The sequence below is a fragment of the Homo sapiens genome, chromosome 21, assembly GCF_000001405.40.
Source record: "Homo sapiens chromosome 21, GRCh38.p14 Primary Assembly".
Classification (NCBI taxonomy): Eukaryota; Metazoa; Chordata; class Mammalia; order Primates; family Hominidae; genus Homo; species Homo sapiens.
Genome location: NC_000021.9, coordinates 37222314 through 37239472, shown reverse-complemented (window position 1 = coordinate 37239472; position 17159 = coordinate 37222314). Strand labels below are relative to the sequence as shown.

Genomic DNA, 17159 nt, shown 5'->3' with positions numbered 1-17159 from the left:
TAACTGTTGTTTTTGTCATTTAGGGTAGAGTTTTGTGTTCCAGAATGTAAACTCTTTCTCTATTCTTGTAGTTGCCTTTTCCTGAAGGACATATTAACGCTTTAAGTTTTGCAGGGAAAAGAGTGAAGACAGAGAAAGGTGCATTCACAGTGTTCAGATTTAGGGGCTTCCTATGTTTTCTACAACTTTATTTTAATCCATTAGTACTTAAGAGATTCACTTCCTAAGTCATGGGTCTTCTCCGAGCCACTGATGTTAAACTATAAATGCTTAAAAAGCATGAATACGTGCCTTGAAGGCAGGTTCCAAATGTTAGTACCCTCCTGCTCCTCCTTGGAGGCCCAGCTGAGGAGGTCTGTGCAGGCCACAGGGCTGGAGGAAAGGCCTGCTCTCCCTGAGCGGCTGCAGCAGGAAGGCTCCGAGGAAGCTGGTGGGCTGTCAGGAGCAGAGGCAGCGCTGCCCAGAAGAGCACGGGGCTCGGTGAGGGGGAGCCGTGGGTTCACACGTCAACCCTGTTAGCCAGGCAGCCTCACTGTGCTGGGTCTGCTTCTTGATCCTGAAGATCGGGGTCGTTAAAACAGTTAAATGAGATACCTGGGGAGGAGAGAGGGATGTATCAGTTCAGTTCCCATGTGTCTCAAGCACCTATGTGTCTCATGTTGTAAATGAATCATTATTGTGCCAGAGTCTTAAAAAGCAGAGCCAAGTCACTGTTCATCTCCAGACCCAGCGCAGAGCTGCCGAAGACAGCAGGATGGTGGCCTCCAGGGGGTCGGGGTGCTGTGTCCTTCAGAACGTTATTAGTAATTGGAAAGGACATTTCCAAGTGTGTGCTGATGGACTGAACTGATTTTTGTTTACAGCCTATCCAGATTATCAACAGCACCATAGAAATGGTGAAGCCGGGGAAATTTCCCAGCGGCAAAACAGAAATCCCTTTTGAATTTCCTCTGCACTTGAAGGGTAACAAAGTTCTGTATGAGACGTATCATGGCGTGTTTGTCAACATTCAGGTGAGAGCTTCCTAGTCCTACGCGACTGACTTCACAAGTTTTCTTCTGACAAACGGTGTGGTCTTTCTCTCAACGTTAGTAGACGGGCCCAAGAATTTAATACTGTGTTTATTGCTGAGACCTCGCATGTATATTCGACGTTAATTTCTCATTTCCCTGATAAATGCATTTGATGTATGGCCGTTATTTCTGATGGGAGCCTCAAGGCACTCGTGCTGTAACTTCTTTTCCCTCTGTTTCTTCTGGGCTCTTTTCAGGCCACCTCACATTGTAAGGGATGCTTTTATTGTCTGGTAACAGATATGCCCTAACTTCTTTCTGGCACTAGCATTAACTTGTCTGTTTTATACTTACAAGTATCTCTTTGTTTAACACCCAAAGGCTACTACTTTGACATAGGCTGGTGTTCTTTACTGAACAAACCTTGTCAATGAGGGGAAGTGGATTATGACTTCCTGTCTACCTCTGCTGGTTAAGGGACGTCTTTGACAGTCTGCTGTTGTTGTCTCAGGAGCAGTGGAGTCCACGCGGGGTGAGATAGCCTTTCCTTTATGCAGCAGAAAGAAAGATACTTTTGTGATAGCAGCCTCGCAGCACTTCCCTTGCTGGATGAGACACAACTCTTCAGTCTTATATGCAAGAGGGATGAAAGTCAGGAATTTTTTTGATTTATTAAGTTTTGGTCAATAATTTGGCCTTAGTAGATACATTATCCTGCTGAAAATAATAGAACCTTTAAAATAAAAGCCCCCCAAACCCCTGTGAGTGTTTAAAGATTCATCTGTATGGGAGTTTTATGAATTGCCTAAGAGATCTGTCCAGAGGAAACACATGTAGTATGATGTACATCTTCTGTGAAGAAAAGAAGTGTTTCTAGTCCTTTATTGTTAGCACCAAAGGCTTTGGACAGCCCCAAGGAAGCAGCAGTGATGACTGAGTAGTACCTGGATTCAGAGGAAGCTGCGTACGTAGCCATGCAGATACCAATTGCTGGTATGTGGGTGGGAGTCTTCTGATCAGCTTTCTAGGTTGGGACTGTTTCCACCCTGAAAGAAACTGAATGAAAAATGCCTTTTTGGCAATACTGAAGATATCTTGAACATTGATTTTGGAAATTATTTTTATTATCTACCCAGAATCAGTATCGACTTGCTTTATCCACACGGCAGTTCTTTAATATGGTTGATTTAAAAATACAAGAATATGTTCATTAGAAACTGGAATAAGATCACGTTTTCAGTGATCATATTTGTTAACTCCTGCGTTCATCAAGACTTACCAAAAGAAGATGAATTTGTTTAAAGTCAAATTGGAAACCCCATCCTTTTCCACATGTTGCCAAGACAGATGTTCAGATATACATAGAAAACGTGTGTGCTGGCCAGGCACAGTGGCTCACGCTTGTCATCCCTGCACTTTGGGAGGCCATGGCAGGAGGATTGCTTGAACCCAGGAGTTCAAGACCAGCCTGGGCAACAACGCAAGATCTCATCTCTACAAAAGAAAACAAAACAAAAAGCTTGTGTGCTTCTGTTGCTGCAGAGCTGTGTGTACATTGGAGGCTACTTAAAATATAGTAGGAGAGTTAACAGGTGGTGGGTTCCTTAGTAAAGGGAATAATTGCCCCTACCCTCGTCTTTTCATCATCAGATTTTACCATTTGAGGGTTAACCTCAGAGTACTACAATTTGGAATTCAGTACCTCCCCAACTATCTCACCGATTTCTAACAATGAAGAGATTTCTTAGCTTAACCTCTGATTTCCATGACTTTATCACACTTATTGTCATTCAGCACTTAATAGTATTTTGCCATCTTTGTTCACCTAAAAATTTAGATTTTTTTCTAAATCATTTTAAAGTTAGTTTCAGAGTCTTGATACTTCATCTCAAAATACCTCATTGCGCATCTCCAAAAACTAAGGACGTTTGTCTCTATAATTACAGTTAACATTTGCACACCTATCAGAATTTGTAAAAATTCTCAAGTATTGATTAATTCTTGATTCATATCAAAATTTGTCGTCTTTTGAGAAAATAAATTTAAGAGAAACTAAGATTATGTTTTTTTAAATCTGTCATCATCCATCCATCCATTCATTCATTCATGCCATTATTTGGCAGGTCTTTTTCTTACAGTTTTATAGTAGAGCAAGTGCCGCCCAGAGACGGCAGTGACTTCCTGTGGTCACACAGGCCAGCCTCAGCCTGCGGGTCCAGACCAGCACTCCTCGGCCCGCACTGTTTACCGCACTTACTCTAAAGGTTAACATAGGCACATTTCTTTGGATAGAAACTTTTGTTGCTAAACCCTAATATCATCTTTCTTAAATTATGTGCCAAGAAATTTTTCATTCATAAATTGAATTGTGTTGTAACAATCTAAAACGGTAAAAATCATAAATCAGAATAAAGGATTTAAAAGATAGACGTGCTGGGTGCAGCGGCATGCACCTGTAAACCCAGCCACTTGGGAGGCTGAGGTAGGAGAATCACTTGAGCCCAGAAGTTCAAGTCCAGCCTGGGCAACATAGCAATACCTCATCTCTTAAGAAAAAAATTTTTTAATTAAAAAAAAAAATATATATATATATATATATATATATATACACACACATATACACACATATATATGTATATGTATCAAATGCCAGTATTATATTCCTGACTTCCAGAGGCTTGGCTTTCTTGTCATTTTTTAGATGAAGAGCTTGACATTCTTCTCAGTCATGTTGCGTTCATGTTTGTCTTTGTTACTAGATACTTCATATGATCATCAGAGTCTTCCGTAGTTGCCCTTTGTGCATCTACTTCTTCTTTTTACAATAATTTAAATTGTAGGCAAGTTTTATTAGGTTTGTTCTACTCTTGCTTTACTCTTGTAGCTGTGCTAGCAAGCGTTTATCCTATCACATAAAACATGTCTGCTGAAATTGTATATTCAGCACTCATTTCTAGAGATCCTAGTCATCCCTTTTCAAAGTTAAAAATTCCTTTTATAGGAATCTACTTTAAAACTATGGACAGGGCTGGGCACCGTGGCTCACGCCTGTAATCCCAGCAGTTTGGGAGGCGGAGGTGGGCAGATCACCTAAGGTCAGGAGTTCGAGACCAGCCTGGCCAACATGGTGAAACCCCGTATCTACTAAAAATACAAAAATTAGGCCAGGCACGGTGGCTCACACCTGTAATCCCAGCACTTTGGAAGGCCAAGGCATGTGGATCACCTGAGGTCAAGACCAGCCTGACTAACATGGTGAAACCCCATCTCTACTAAAATACAAAAATTAGCCGGGCATGGTGGTGGATGCCTGTAATCTCAGCTACTCGGGAGGCTGAGGCAGGAGAATTGCTTGAACCCAGGAGGCAGAGTTTGCAGTGAGCCGAGATCACGCCATCGCACTCCAGCCTGAGCAACAAGAGTGAAACTCCATCTCAAAAAAAAAAAAATTAGCCAGCCATGGTGGCGCGGCCCCTGTAATTCCAGATACTCAGGAGGCTGAGGCAAGAGAATCACTTGAAACCAGGAGGTGGAGGTTGCAGTGAACCGAGATCACGCCACCGCACTTCAGCCTGGGTGACAGAGTGAGACTCCGTATTAAAAAACAAAAAAAGAATATATATATTGTATATATATTCTACATAAAGATCCTTGCAGACAAGGATGATTCTTTTAAACAATGTTTTACTCTCCCAGTAGTACCTTAAATATATATAGTAACTTCTTATTTCATGCGGACAGGTTGTTCATACGAATATTAGCTTCTTGGAAGATTCAGTTATGCATAGAGTCCGAGTTATGAAAATTATTTTTGACATAATTCTGAAGTTTTTCCTGGACGATTAAAACAACAACTAACTTTATTAAACGTGGATTATGTGATTTTTTTTTAAAGACTGGCATTACAACAGTGGTCCTGCTGTAGAATTACATTTTTAAATAGTCTCTCAGCTCACGGACAGGGATTTGAAGCAACAGTCTCCGTTCAAAGCCTGCTTTAAGCTCAATACCAGCTCTGCAGTGGGGCTCCCCTTGGGGGAATAGAGCTCACCTTGCAGTAGGCACCATGGTAGCAACCAGCTCAGAAAACTAACCTAGGGACAGCAGAGAAATGGAATGCGGCTCTGCCACATTAAAAAAGCAAGTGTGCAAGTGCGATGCTACATTGTTTTCCAACCCACTTTTTCTTTGAGGTGCAGGCTACATCTGTGTGTTGGCAGATGGAGAGAGACCTCAGATGTCTCGAGAAATAAGATTAGCCATGAGTTGACCCTTGTGGAAGTTGGTTGATGGATGTGTGGGTTACTGCATATTCAGTAAACTAGAAGTTCCCTGAGGACCAGGTGTGACCTTGAGCTTGGCTCTGGTGCCCAGGGCAGTGCTATGCACTCAGAGCAGGTGCCCAGCGAGGAAGGGTTGTGACATGCTGGGTGCTGTCCCAGGGTTGCAGTCCTCACTGCATGGATTTTCTAATCCCGCTTACAAAGTAGCTGCTGTTTTCCAGCATTGCTTTGTGCCAGCCCTGTGCTGAGTGCTTGTCACACATGATCTCATTGGAGTCTCGCTGCAGGTGGGTCTTAAGAGCCCCATTCTACAGAAGGGAAGCAGAAGCTCAGACAAGTTGTGTTATCTGTCTGGGCTCGCACAGTAAGGCAGACAACAACGGGATCTGGCCTGGCGTCTGCTCCTGAGCGCACTGCCCTTTCTGTCTCGCCAGCCTGCTCCCTGCTACAGGTGGGACCGTGCACCTGTTTGCCAGTGGGTCCAACTGCAGGCCAGCTGTGCAAACAGATTGAAGAATAACCTTAAAGTGGTTCATTTTTAAAACAGAAATGCCTTTATTTTGAACATTAACTATCCTATTATGTATTATATTATGTATGTTAATTTTCTATAATGCACTGATTGTACAACATTTCCCTAAAATATGTTGACTGACTTGTCTCTTTGAATATAATTCCAAGATGAAAGCAAATCCCACTAAAATGAACTTTTTTCCTCCAACTCTCCCCTTTAGTATACACTGCGCTGTGACATGAAGCGGTCTCTGTTGGCCAAGGACTTGACAAAGACCTGTGAATTTATCGTTCACTCCGCTGTAAGCTTCACTCGGGGACTCTGGTGCTTAATGATAGGAATCTCCCATGGGGTCTGAGAGTTTACCCTATTTACAAGCTCACCATTTAGCCTCTTACTGTTTCACGGGTGCTGGCAGAAGACACAAGACTTCTGGGTCAGAGACAGTCGGTGGCATGCGCATCACGTGTGCATCATTGTCCTGGGCCCAGAGTCCCCCAGCTGAGGCCGCGGGCCAGAGGGACTCCACGTCGGCACATCAGGCAGGACCTTTCCTCCCCCTGGCTCTCTGGATGGTAGACTGGCCCTTTGCATCCCAGCCCCTGGATAAAAAATGCCAGGCAGGCTCTCATGAAGCTCGGCTGTATCTGTAGATTCTGAAATTATGTAACATGGAGGTGATCACTGTTACTGCTGTTTTGGTAACGTTTAAAGTATGATTCTTCAGGTGACAGCTCTATAGCTCAGAGGCCAATAGCAACCTGACCTCCTGGGTTCAATGCTCAGCCCCCCAGCTCCACCACTGAGCTGAGCAGGCCACTGAGCTCTCTGCCCCGCTTGCCTCGTCTGTGAAGTGGGACCATCTGGGAGGTGTGAAGAGCCCTTTGGAGGGTCACTGTGCTGAGGTTTCAAATAAGTACTTGCCAATAACACTGTTCTGTTTCTTAGATCTGATTTTAAAATTCTGAATCTGAAAGGCACGTTGGAGATTAAGACATCTCTCCCCTCATTTTACAGATGAGGAAACTGAGTTTCAGCAAGATGGGGAAATTTGACAGAACTGTGTTCAGGACCCAGGCTTGCGCCTCTTAGTTCCCCGTCCTTCCTGCATCGCCAGGCTGCCGTTGGTTTATTTTTGAAAGGGAAAAGCTATTTGACCTGCAGAACTCTTGGCCTTCACCTACTGATTTCGGTTTCACCTCTCGTTTTAGCCTCAGAAGGGGAAGTTTACTCCCAGTCCCGTGGACTTCACGATTACACCTGAAACCTTACAGAACGTCAAAGAGGTAAGACGTCCTGCACAGGCGAATGCCGTGGGTATCTTCCCAGCAGCCAGACCCCACGGACTAGCTATTGCCCGGGTGGTCTTCATTTGGAAATCACGTCATCAGCCGGCAGAGATTTCTGATTGTACCCAAATTACTCAGTATTTTCCATTTGATTTCCTTTTTAAGCTCAGTAAAGCAGCTTAGAAGAGGACTGCTTTTGAAAAGTTCCTCAGGGAGGGTCCATGTCTATTAATCTCACCATTTTCCCTCAGTTTTACTGCATCATGGGCCCCCAAGACCCCCTGCTGCCCATGACACGGCCACGTCCCTTCATTTCTCATGGTTAGCCGGGGCCTGCGCCCGGCCCCCTGGCCTGTTGTCATCCTCCATGGATGTTTAGTTTGCAGTTTCTTCCCCAGCATTCCCATCAGACAGAGGCCGGGCAGCAACGTGCTTTTCAAAGATTCCGCAGTGCCCTCCGTGGTGGACGCCTCACGGCCAGGGCAGGTACAGTGAGGACACAGACGCCTGGGCAGTGCCAGCCCAGCTCCCCCGCCTCCTGCATCAGGACAGGGCTGTCTGGCTGTCAGTGGCAGCCGCTGGTGGAGCCTCAGCTGGTCCCTCGAGCTGCACGGTGAACTTGGGCCCGTCCAAAACTCTGCCTGGCCCCGGCCTCCCTGATCTTGCCCTCTCATCCACTGCCATGCATTTCTCCTAAACAGTGGAGTCCTGTAGTTCTTCCTGGATGTAACTTTTCATCCTTCCTCTAATTCTTTATTCTGCTGTCTGGACCACACTGACTAGGATCAAGTGAAGGACAAGCTGGGAGGCCTGGGCCCTGGGATGTCATTGGCCTCATCCCTCAGAGGCTGGACATGTGTCGTGGGGAGCCTTTCAGACAGGTGAGGGAGGAAAGGCCACTCCTCTGTCTGTTCTGCACGTCTCCCTTCTCCGGGCTCTGAGGGCACGCGACCCCAGTGGGCCACTCAGACTCCCGTCTCCCACCTCTGTAGCCTGTCTTCGGAAGCGCTGACCTCAGCAGTAATGTGATTCATTTCTAGACACCGTTTCTTCTTCGGGATAGCTGCTGCTTCCATGACGGACGCAGTGGCCTTTCATCTCCTTTTCCTGTATTGATTCTGTTTCTCAGGGGTTGGTTCTGTTTGTCGAGTGTGTGTGTCTTTTTCTTGCTTTTGTTTTCCTTAAATGTGTATTGATCCTCGGTTGTCAGTTTACATTTACAAATGAGGATCTAATGTGTGTGGTGGTGTTGTAGAGGCTGTATCCTTAGCCCAGGTGAGAACCTGTTCTCCTGGTCCTCAGCACCTGCTCATCAGAGGCGCTCTGCCCTGGGTGTGGCACGTGGCCGGGGTGTTTGTAGGCAGCTTGTCTCCTGAGTCCAGAGGCTCGCTGTCTGCATTGTGGCTGTGAATGACGTGGGACACTTGTCCTACCTTGCCCCGAGTCTGCTTTTCCGGGTGGGAGATCCCCTTTGCAGGAAGCTGTGGTGCCAGTCTGTGGCAGCTTCCCCCATCTGGTGAGCTCACCTGTGATACCTGCCTACTGCCCTTCGCAGGCCCCCGCCCGATGGCAGGCTGACCACACGCCCTGCGAGCACACCCGCTCTCACCGCTCCCCCTGCCACCTGGAGGACGGGTGCCCCGAACTCCCGGGAGCCGGATTGTCTGTCCACTTTCTGCCGGACAGAAACACTTCACTGGGGTGGTCCCCACGGGGCGTTCCTTGTGGCTTTTCTAGGTATAGGTTTATTTGTAAACACGAAGAACTTTTCTTTCCACAGAACCATTCAGGTTTATTGTTGGAAAATAAGAAAATAACACATAAAGCAAATAAAATAAAATTGCTTATTCACAAAATGCCACTGGTGGTTTTTTGTTTTGCTTTTTAAGTAGAAAAGAGATGTATTGTAGAAAATCTTGTAGATTTTTAAGTAGAAAAGAGATTTATTGGAAGGATATAAGACAGCTTTACAGGAACTACTAGGCTGGAGCTCAGACTCAAAATAGTATAGGTTTATTTTATTTGTATATGTTAATATCATGTCAGTGGGAGGAGAGGGAAAATGATTGTTTAGTCAGTATCTTGAGCTGAATGTTGAAAGCTATCCTTTTTCATCAGTCGCCTAAAAGAATTTTAATGTGTACTGCTACTGCTTTTTGTTTTTCTACACAAATAGCTTCTCTTAGTTATTTTTAAAACTCTGTCTTGGCCAGGCACAGTAGATCATGCCTGGAATCCCACCACTTTGGGAGGCCAAGGCAGGAGGATCACTTAAGGTCAGGAGTTCAAGACCAGCGTGGGCAACATAGAACCTGTCTCTACAAAAGAAAAATGTAAAAATTAGCTGGGTGTGGTGGCATGCGATCGTAGTCCCAGCTACTAGGGAGGCTTAGGCAAAAGGATTGCCTGAGCCCAGGAGGTGAGGCTGCAGTGAGCCATGTACTCCAGCCTGGGCAACAGAGCAAGACCCTGTCTCTAAAAATGTTTATAATAAAAACAAATAAATAAAAGCTCCATCTTGAATGCAGACTTCTTCAGAGGTCTGTACCTTTGGGGACTGCCAGGTCCAGAGTCCCGGGCTTTTCAGGTCCAGAGCTTCACTGCCTGATCAGGTGGCCACCAGCCACACATCACCATTGACCCTGGACACATGGCTGGACCAAGTAGCTGAGTTGGATGTGTAAATACTGACCAGATTTCAAAGACTCAGGATGAAAAGAAGAATGTAAAACATCATTCATATTTTTGATATTGATTATATGTGGAAGTGATAACACTTTTGATATATTCGTTAATTTTACCTTCTTTTTTAATGTGGCTACCAGAAAATTCCAAATTATATATGTGGCTTCCACTCGCAGCTTGCATTATGTTTCTGTTGGACAGTAGTATGCCAATATCTGATCCTTTCAGTAACTGGGATCCAGCCAGAGGTAAAGATTCCTAGAAAAATTGTCTCTGTCTAGACCAAGCCCATTCAACCCACAGCCCACCGGCCAGGATGGCTTTGAATGTGACCCAACACAAATTCATAAACCTTAAAACATGAGATTTTGTTTCTGTGATTTTTTTTTAGCTCATCAGCTATCATTAGTGTTAATATATTTTATGTGTGACCCAAGACAATTCTTCTTCTTCCAACGTGGCCCAGGGAAGCCAAAAGAGTGGACACCCCTGCTCTAGACCATCATCAGTCCTTCCTGGCCAGCGTCAGGTGTGCAGAGTAAAGGTTTGTAGGCTTCTCATCAAGCGTCAAAGAAACTAGTTTTCTTCAAATTTCCATGAAATAAAATAAATGTCTTGGGTTTTAAAAATTGTACAATTGGGAACATCTTTGAATGTTTTTTTTTTTAAGAGACAGCATCTCATTCTTGTCACCCAGACTGGAGTGCACTGGTGTAATCATTGCTCACTGGAGCCTCAAGCAATCCTCCTGCCTCTGCCTCCCACGTAACTGAGACTACAGGTGTGCACCAGCCTGCCCAGCTAATTTTTAAAACATTTTTTAGAGATGGGGTCTTGCTGTGTTACACAGGCTGTTCTTGAACTCCTGGCCTCAAGTGATCCTCCTGCCTTTGCCTCCCAAAGCCCTGGGATTACGGGCCTGAGCCACTGTGCCTGGCCAGGACTTTTCTTTTTAACTGTGTGTGTGTCAGGTTGTCTTGAACACCATGGCGACTCCCTCAGACTTTTTCATGTCTTATTCCTTGGTAAGAAGGAGCTTTCTAGCTCTGAGACTAGGCAATTAGGATGGTTCTCTGAGGCATTCTCTGTACACAGAGTGTCAGTCAGGTGCCATATGTAGAGAGTCGTTGAATAATTCAGCCGGCTAATGTCCAAGACGTCAGTACTTCGCTCCTTTCTTCCCGTTTTGTGAGACGGTCCCGGTGGACTGTGTAACCACTATCCAACTTCGCTTCCAGGTTTTATTTGCACCAAAGTATGGAGCACTTTCCCCCCTTGCCTGCATTCTGATGTATTTGTTTTCATTTTGTTTTAGAGAGCTTTGCTTCCCAAATTTCTCCTTCGAGGACATCTCAACTCAACAAACTGTGTCATCACGCAGCCACTAACGGGAGAGCTGGTGGTGGAGAGCTCGGAAGCCGCCATCAGAAGCGTGGAGCTGCAGCTGGTGCGCGTGGAGACGTGCGGTGAGGGCCGTGCCACCAGGCCTGGCGCTTGCCTGTCCCCCTCGACTGCCACCCTCACGTTCCATGGTTAAGAGGATGCTGGGGGGCTGGGCACAGTGGCGCACCCCTGTAATCCCAGCTACTCAGGAGGCTGAGGTGGGAGGGTGGTTTGAGGCTGCAGTGAGCTGAGATCGCACCATTGCACTCCAGCCTGGGCAGCAGAGCAGACCATGACCCTGACTCTAAAAAACGAGAGGACGTCGGGGAAGCAAAAGTAAGAGCGTGGCTGTGCCTTAGCAGTAGCCGCGTGTCTAAGGAAAGTGAGGGGAGGGGACCCTGGAGGATTCTTGGAGCAGACTGGTGGGTGGTGCCGGTGCGGATGTGGACCCCGCAGCCTCTGCTGGCCCTGACCGCGTGATGTGGCCTCCCTCCCGCAGGGTGTGCAGAAGGCTATGCCCGCGACGCCACGGAGATTCAGAACATTCAGATCGCCGACGGGGATGTGTGCAGGGGCCTCTCTGTCCCCATCTACATGGTCTTCCCTAGGCTGTTCACCTGCCCTACACTGGAGACCACCAACTTCAAAGTGGGTAAGTGGCACTCGCCTCCCAGCCCTCATGGGCCCATGGGAAGGGCCGCTCAGCGCCAGGGCCTGCTGTGGGTCACAGAGCTCAGAACCTGCCGCCCTTCGGTCCCTCAGTGCCAGGGCCTGCCACAGGCCATACAGCTCAGAGCCTGCTGCCCTTCGGCTGCTCAACAAAACCTTGTTAAGGAGCTGCTGTGCCGCACAGGGGACACACCCACAGGCAGTCCTGGTGCTTGTGGGACTTCCACTGTCACATGGGGAAACACACAGACCCACATCAGTGTAGACATGGGCAGGTGACGCTGAGCTCTGTGTAGACATGGGCAGGTGACGCTGAGCTCCGTGTAGACATGGGCAGGTGACGCTGAGCTCTGTGTAGACATGGGCAGGTGACGCTGAGCTCCGTGAAGAAAACTCCCGTGAACGAGCACCACAGGAGTGGGGGGTGGTGTGGATACTGAGAAAGTGGCTCTGTGTGAAGGTCCAGGACCCGTGAAAACCCCAGAGTGAGCGCTCAGAAGCAGGAAGGCCTTGAGCCCCGCGGCCTAGATGCCTCTAGTGAGTTTCCATGAACCTGTGTGTTCATATTTTAACCATGGGATCTGAATCAGGTCACAGACACCCTTTTATATTCTGCCTTTTTCCCTTAACATTGTATCATGAACATTTCCATGTTTTTAACTCTTCCTATAAATATTGTAATGGGACCTCCATCTTAATAAGAATCATGTTAATTGGGAGATCACTCCACACTACGAAGAAGTAGAACAGAGAGACCCAGTAGGAAGGGACCGAGCCTTCTCAGTAGCAGGGGACTGTGATTCAGAGAGGCTCGGGGACCTCTAGGTTGGAAGTCAGGAGTGAGCACTGCATCCACATCAAGAGCAGCACCTCTGTGTGTTCCCCTCCAATTCCGTGCGAGTGACCTCAAATGCACGGTCAGGCCCGAGACTGGAACTCACTCGGACTCTAAGCAGCGCCTGGGTATCATGGCGGCTCCAGTGCAGCTGTTTTCCTGCTGTAAAGGAAAGCCCCCGCCAGCTCCCTATCTTGCCTGCTGGGCATCCCTCTCTGTCCACTCCAGCCACACCCTCCACCCTTCTGGGGGGCACAACAAGAGGGGTGGAGAACCCATTGAAGGGAGTGGTGGCAGGAAGTGCCCAGAGGACTCTAATGTAGTGACAATAAAGTGAGGAAGGACAGGCCGGCCACTGCTGGTGGCCGACTCTTCTTGTGGCTGATGTTTGGGCGGAGGTGGACACTCCCACACGGGGATGTTGTCCTGCAGACCCCAGCCACAGGTGGGCACTGACTCCAAGGCCCCTTCCACAGCTGAGCTGCCACAGTGTGGGGCTCAGCACAGGGTGCCCTCTGCCCACACGATGCCCTTCCCACCCCTCCTCACACTGGGGAAGGAGATGGTGCTTGTTTGTCGTCAGGTGCTTCCTCTTCACACACATCCCTTTTGTTAGGATCAACAAGGCTCACCCATATCAGCTGAAGAGTCGGTGGAGAAGGAATCCTGTTTGCTGAAAGGTGATGGATGAATAGTATCCAATGGAGCAACAATGAAATTGTTGCTTCTGAAGACTGTTTCTCACCTGGGGATTGGGGACATGGGCCCAGACAGCTATGCGCTGGTTCACAGTCTGCTATTTCATTAAGAACCGTAGGAAATGTAAAAATAAGGCAAAGGAATACAAATGAATTGAAAGGGTTCTAGAATATCCTTTTTAGGAAAGCAAAGGGACAGGGAAAGTGTAGTTGGTGAAGCCTGATCACTCATGTTCCAAGATGAGAGGACAAAAATTCACTTAGAGAAAGTTGACAGAGGTAGTCAGACATCAGCATAGTCATCTCCACTGAAAGTTTGGCTGAAAGGTCAGGGTGGCGCTGAGGGGACAGCAATGAAACCCACCCGCACCGGGTGCTCCTTCGCCGTTAGAGCTTCCTGCGACTGCAGTGGTGGCGGCGTGTGGTTTCGCTGCTTGGTAACAGTGAGCACAAACCCACCCTCTCTTCTCTTCTCAGAATTTGAGGTTAACATCGTGGTGCTGCTTCACCCTGACCACCTCATCACGGAGAACTTCCCGCTGAAGCTCTGCAGGATATAGCCCGGAGGAGGGAAGCATAGAGAACGGGAGTGGCCATCTGGAAATCCAGCTGGTTATCCAAATCCTAAGGGGAGCTACAGCCAGCGGCATATACTTGTTTTTGTGATTATTCTGTATCAGAAATGAAACAGACCCTCAAATTAACTTTCCTTCCTCATTTCTTGAGGCTTCTGCTTCCAACAGGCACCTCTAATCAGACCTTTTCTTTGAAATTCAACAAGATTTCTTAATGCTATTTGCCAAGACCATTTCACAGAAAACATTGACTGTGGCTCTTGCCTTATCTGTTCCTTTTTAGGTACAGTAAAACAATTGTGACAGCAGTTTGAGCTTGCTGGAGAGTGGCATCATGGGGACAAAAGGAAACCTCTGACTTGCTAATGGATGTAGCCAGGGACTCCCCATAGCAAAGGGTCTGTGGCCAGTTGACATCCAGGATGGCTGCAAGCGCACTTGATGGTCAGGAAGTTTGCAGATACTCGCCAAGGCAGAGCGCAAAGTGCTAGCCACTGGAAATGCATGACTTCCCTCCACCCCTACTCTATTCTGTAGTTTTTTGGTTTTGTTTCTGAGACGGAGTCTCAGTCTGTCACCCAGGCTGGAGTGATCTCAGCTCACTGCAACCTCCACCTCCCAGGTTCAAGCGACTCTCCTGCCTCAGCCTCCCGAGTAGTTGGGATTACAGGTGACTGCCACCGTGCCCGGCTAATGTTTGTATTTTTAGTAGAGACGGGGCTTCACCATCTTGGCCAGGCTGGTCTTGAACTCCTGACCTCGTGACCCACCCGCCTTGGCCTCCCAAAGTGCTGGGATTACAGGTGTGAGCCACCACACCCAGCCTCTGTAGTTCTTTTTACAACATTTTTCATTATAACTTTAAATTTTTTAAGCAACTGGAAAAGTGTTCCTTGCTCTCTTGGGGGGATTTGGCTGGTGCCGAAGTGTTTCTGAAGTCTCAAGAACTGCCATAAAATCTCACGCTGCCATTTCCCTGAACAGATACATACATAGAGAGAGACAGTTTTCCAAACTGTGTCACGCAGGCTGAGTGCACTGGCAGGATCACAGCTCACGGCAGCCTCAACCTCCCTGGCTCAAGCGATCCCTCCCCTCAGCCTCCTGAGTAGCTGAGACTACAGGTGAGTGCCACCACACTCAGCTAATTTTCAAATTTTTTGTAGACAGGGTCTCCCTATGTTGCCCAGGCTGGTCTTGAACTCCTAGACTCAAGTGATCCTCCTGTCTTGGCCTCCCAAAGTGCTGAGATTACAGGTGTGAGCCACTGTGCCCAGCAGTTTCCCAGAATATATTTAAATGCAAAGTTACATGAGGGGAAAACATGTATGTTTGCTCCTGTTGTTACTGGGTAGGTTCTGAACAGCAGAAACCCATGTGCAGGGTGGGCTGGTGAAGGCCCCTCTCCGCAAGGTGGTAGCAGGAAAAGGTCCTTGACTTGATGAATTTGGTCTGCCTCTGAGCCACTGGAGGAAGCTGTTTTGAGCCAGGGTTTTTTGGCCTAAAGCCAGCATTTCCTCAGTCTCCCTTTGTGGTTCGAAGGATATGGACTATTGCAATACATTTCTTCCTTCAAATCCTGCCACTGTTTTGTTGGCCCACAACTAATAGGACCTCAAAATAAGCCATGCTGCTTTGCACACACACTAGCCTTCTTTTGTACTTTTCATTCTGGATGGGCTTGGCCAAAACAGGCTCAGGCCAAAGACCTCCCAAGCTGTATGTACTTCCAGTATCCTGAAACAGTGTTTGGTGACATAATGCCAAGGGTAAACAAGCCTGATTTAGGCACTGCTTTATCCAGGGGCTTCACCCATGAAATTAATAAAACTTATCTGAGTCACTTGAAACTTGGTTCCCAGAAAACACATTTCTGGTTTATAATCTCCTTTTATGCTCACCTGACATTAATTATCTATCCTTGATGATGTGTTTAAACTGAGTAGCAGAAAACAGAGGCCACACTTTCTGGGAAATTTTAAAGGAAGAAACCATTTTTAATGAGATGAAAATATTTAACGAATTTAAAAAGCTAATGACAATTTTGAGAAAAGGTTTGGGATGTATATTGCTATGTAATTTAATAAACTGATTTTATGGATATAAATATGACTGCTTTCCTTAGAGAATAATTATTACCTGAAGCGCATCCAGACAACGTGGCTACCTTTATCATTTCATTCAACCCTGAGTGGCCCAAACAAAGGCCTCAGGCCGGCCACTTCCTTCCACTTCTTGGTCTGACCTCTCCATGATCTGTTACTAGGCAAAACTCAGATGTTTGGCTACCTTGGGCTGCAACTGTCCCACTCTTGCCCAGGCTTGCTGGAGTTGGGGTTATCCACAGTCAGAGGTTCAGAGTTGTCAAATTCTCCAATTAGAGCAAGAGATGAGGAAAGGAAAGGGAGACGAAAGAAAGAGGCTGTGCCTCAGAAATAATAACGCCGCATATCTACAACTATCTGATCTTTGACAAACCTGAGAAAAACAAGCAATGGGGAAAGGATTCCCTATTTAATAAATGGTGCTGGGAAAACTGGCCAACCATATGTAGAAAGCTGAAACTGGATCCCTTCCTTGCACCTTATACAAAAATCAGTTCAAGATGGATTAAAGACTTAAACGTTAGACCTAAAACCATAACCTAGGCATTACCATTCAGGACATAGGCATGGGCAAGGACTTCATGTCTAAAACACCAAAACCAATGGCAACCAAAGGCAAAATTGACAAATGGGATCTAATTAAACTAAAGAGCTTCTGCACAGCAAAAGAAACTACCATCAGAGTGAACAGGCAACCTACAAAATGGGAGAAAATTTTCGCAACCTACTCATCTGACAAAGGGCTAATATCCAGAATCTACAATGAACTCAAACAAATTTACAAGAAAAAAACAACCCCATCAACAAGTGGGTGAAGGATATGAACAGACACTTCTCAAAAGAAGACATTTATGCAGCCAAAAAACACATGAAAAAATGCTCATCATCACTGGCCATCAGAGAAATGCAAATCAAAACCACAATGAGATACCATCTCACACCAGTTAGAATGGCGATCATTCAAAAGTCAGGAAACAACAGGTGCTGGAGAGGATGTGGAGAAATAAGAACACTTTTACACTGTTGGTAGGACTGTACACTAGTTCAACCATTGTGGAAGACAGTGTGGCGATTCCTCAGGGATCTAGAACTAGAAATACCATTTGACCC

The 17159-nt window shown here is 46.7% G+C and overlaps 1 protein-coding gene across 6 annotated transcripts in view, besides 1 other annotated feature; it reads left to right on the top strand.

Moving 5' to 3' along the window:
• The window catches only part of VPS26C (VPS26 endosomal protein sorting factor C), a 44689-nt gene extending 28636 nt beyond the window's left edge, over positions 1 to 16053 (top strand). For 2 of the 6 annotated variants that reach the window (XM_047440658.1, NM_001331022.1), the window contains 5 exon segments: positions 864 to 1013; positions 7022 to 7096; positions 11100 to 11250; positions 11667 to 11819; positions 13847 to 16053. In XM_047440658.1, coding sequence (XP_047296614.1) covers positions 864 to 1013; positions 7022 to 7096; positions 11100 to 11250; positions 11667 to 11819; positions 13847 to 13929 — 612 coding nt within the window. In that variant the 3' untranslated portion in view covers positions 13930 to 16053. 6 annotated transcript variants of the gene reach the window in all.
• Positions 6502 to 6551: an enhancer, noted in NCBI's record as "active region_18446". NCBI's record gives its function as "activates an Ori minimal core promoter by ATAC-STARR-seq in GM12878 lymphoblastoid cells {active_cell/tissue: GM12878}" and the evidence as "EXISTENCE:reporter gene assay evidence [ECO:0000049][PMID:35858748]".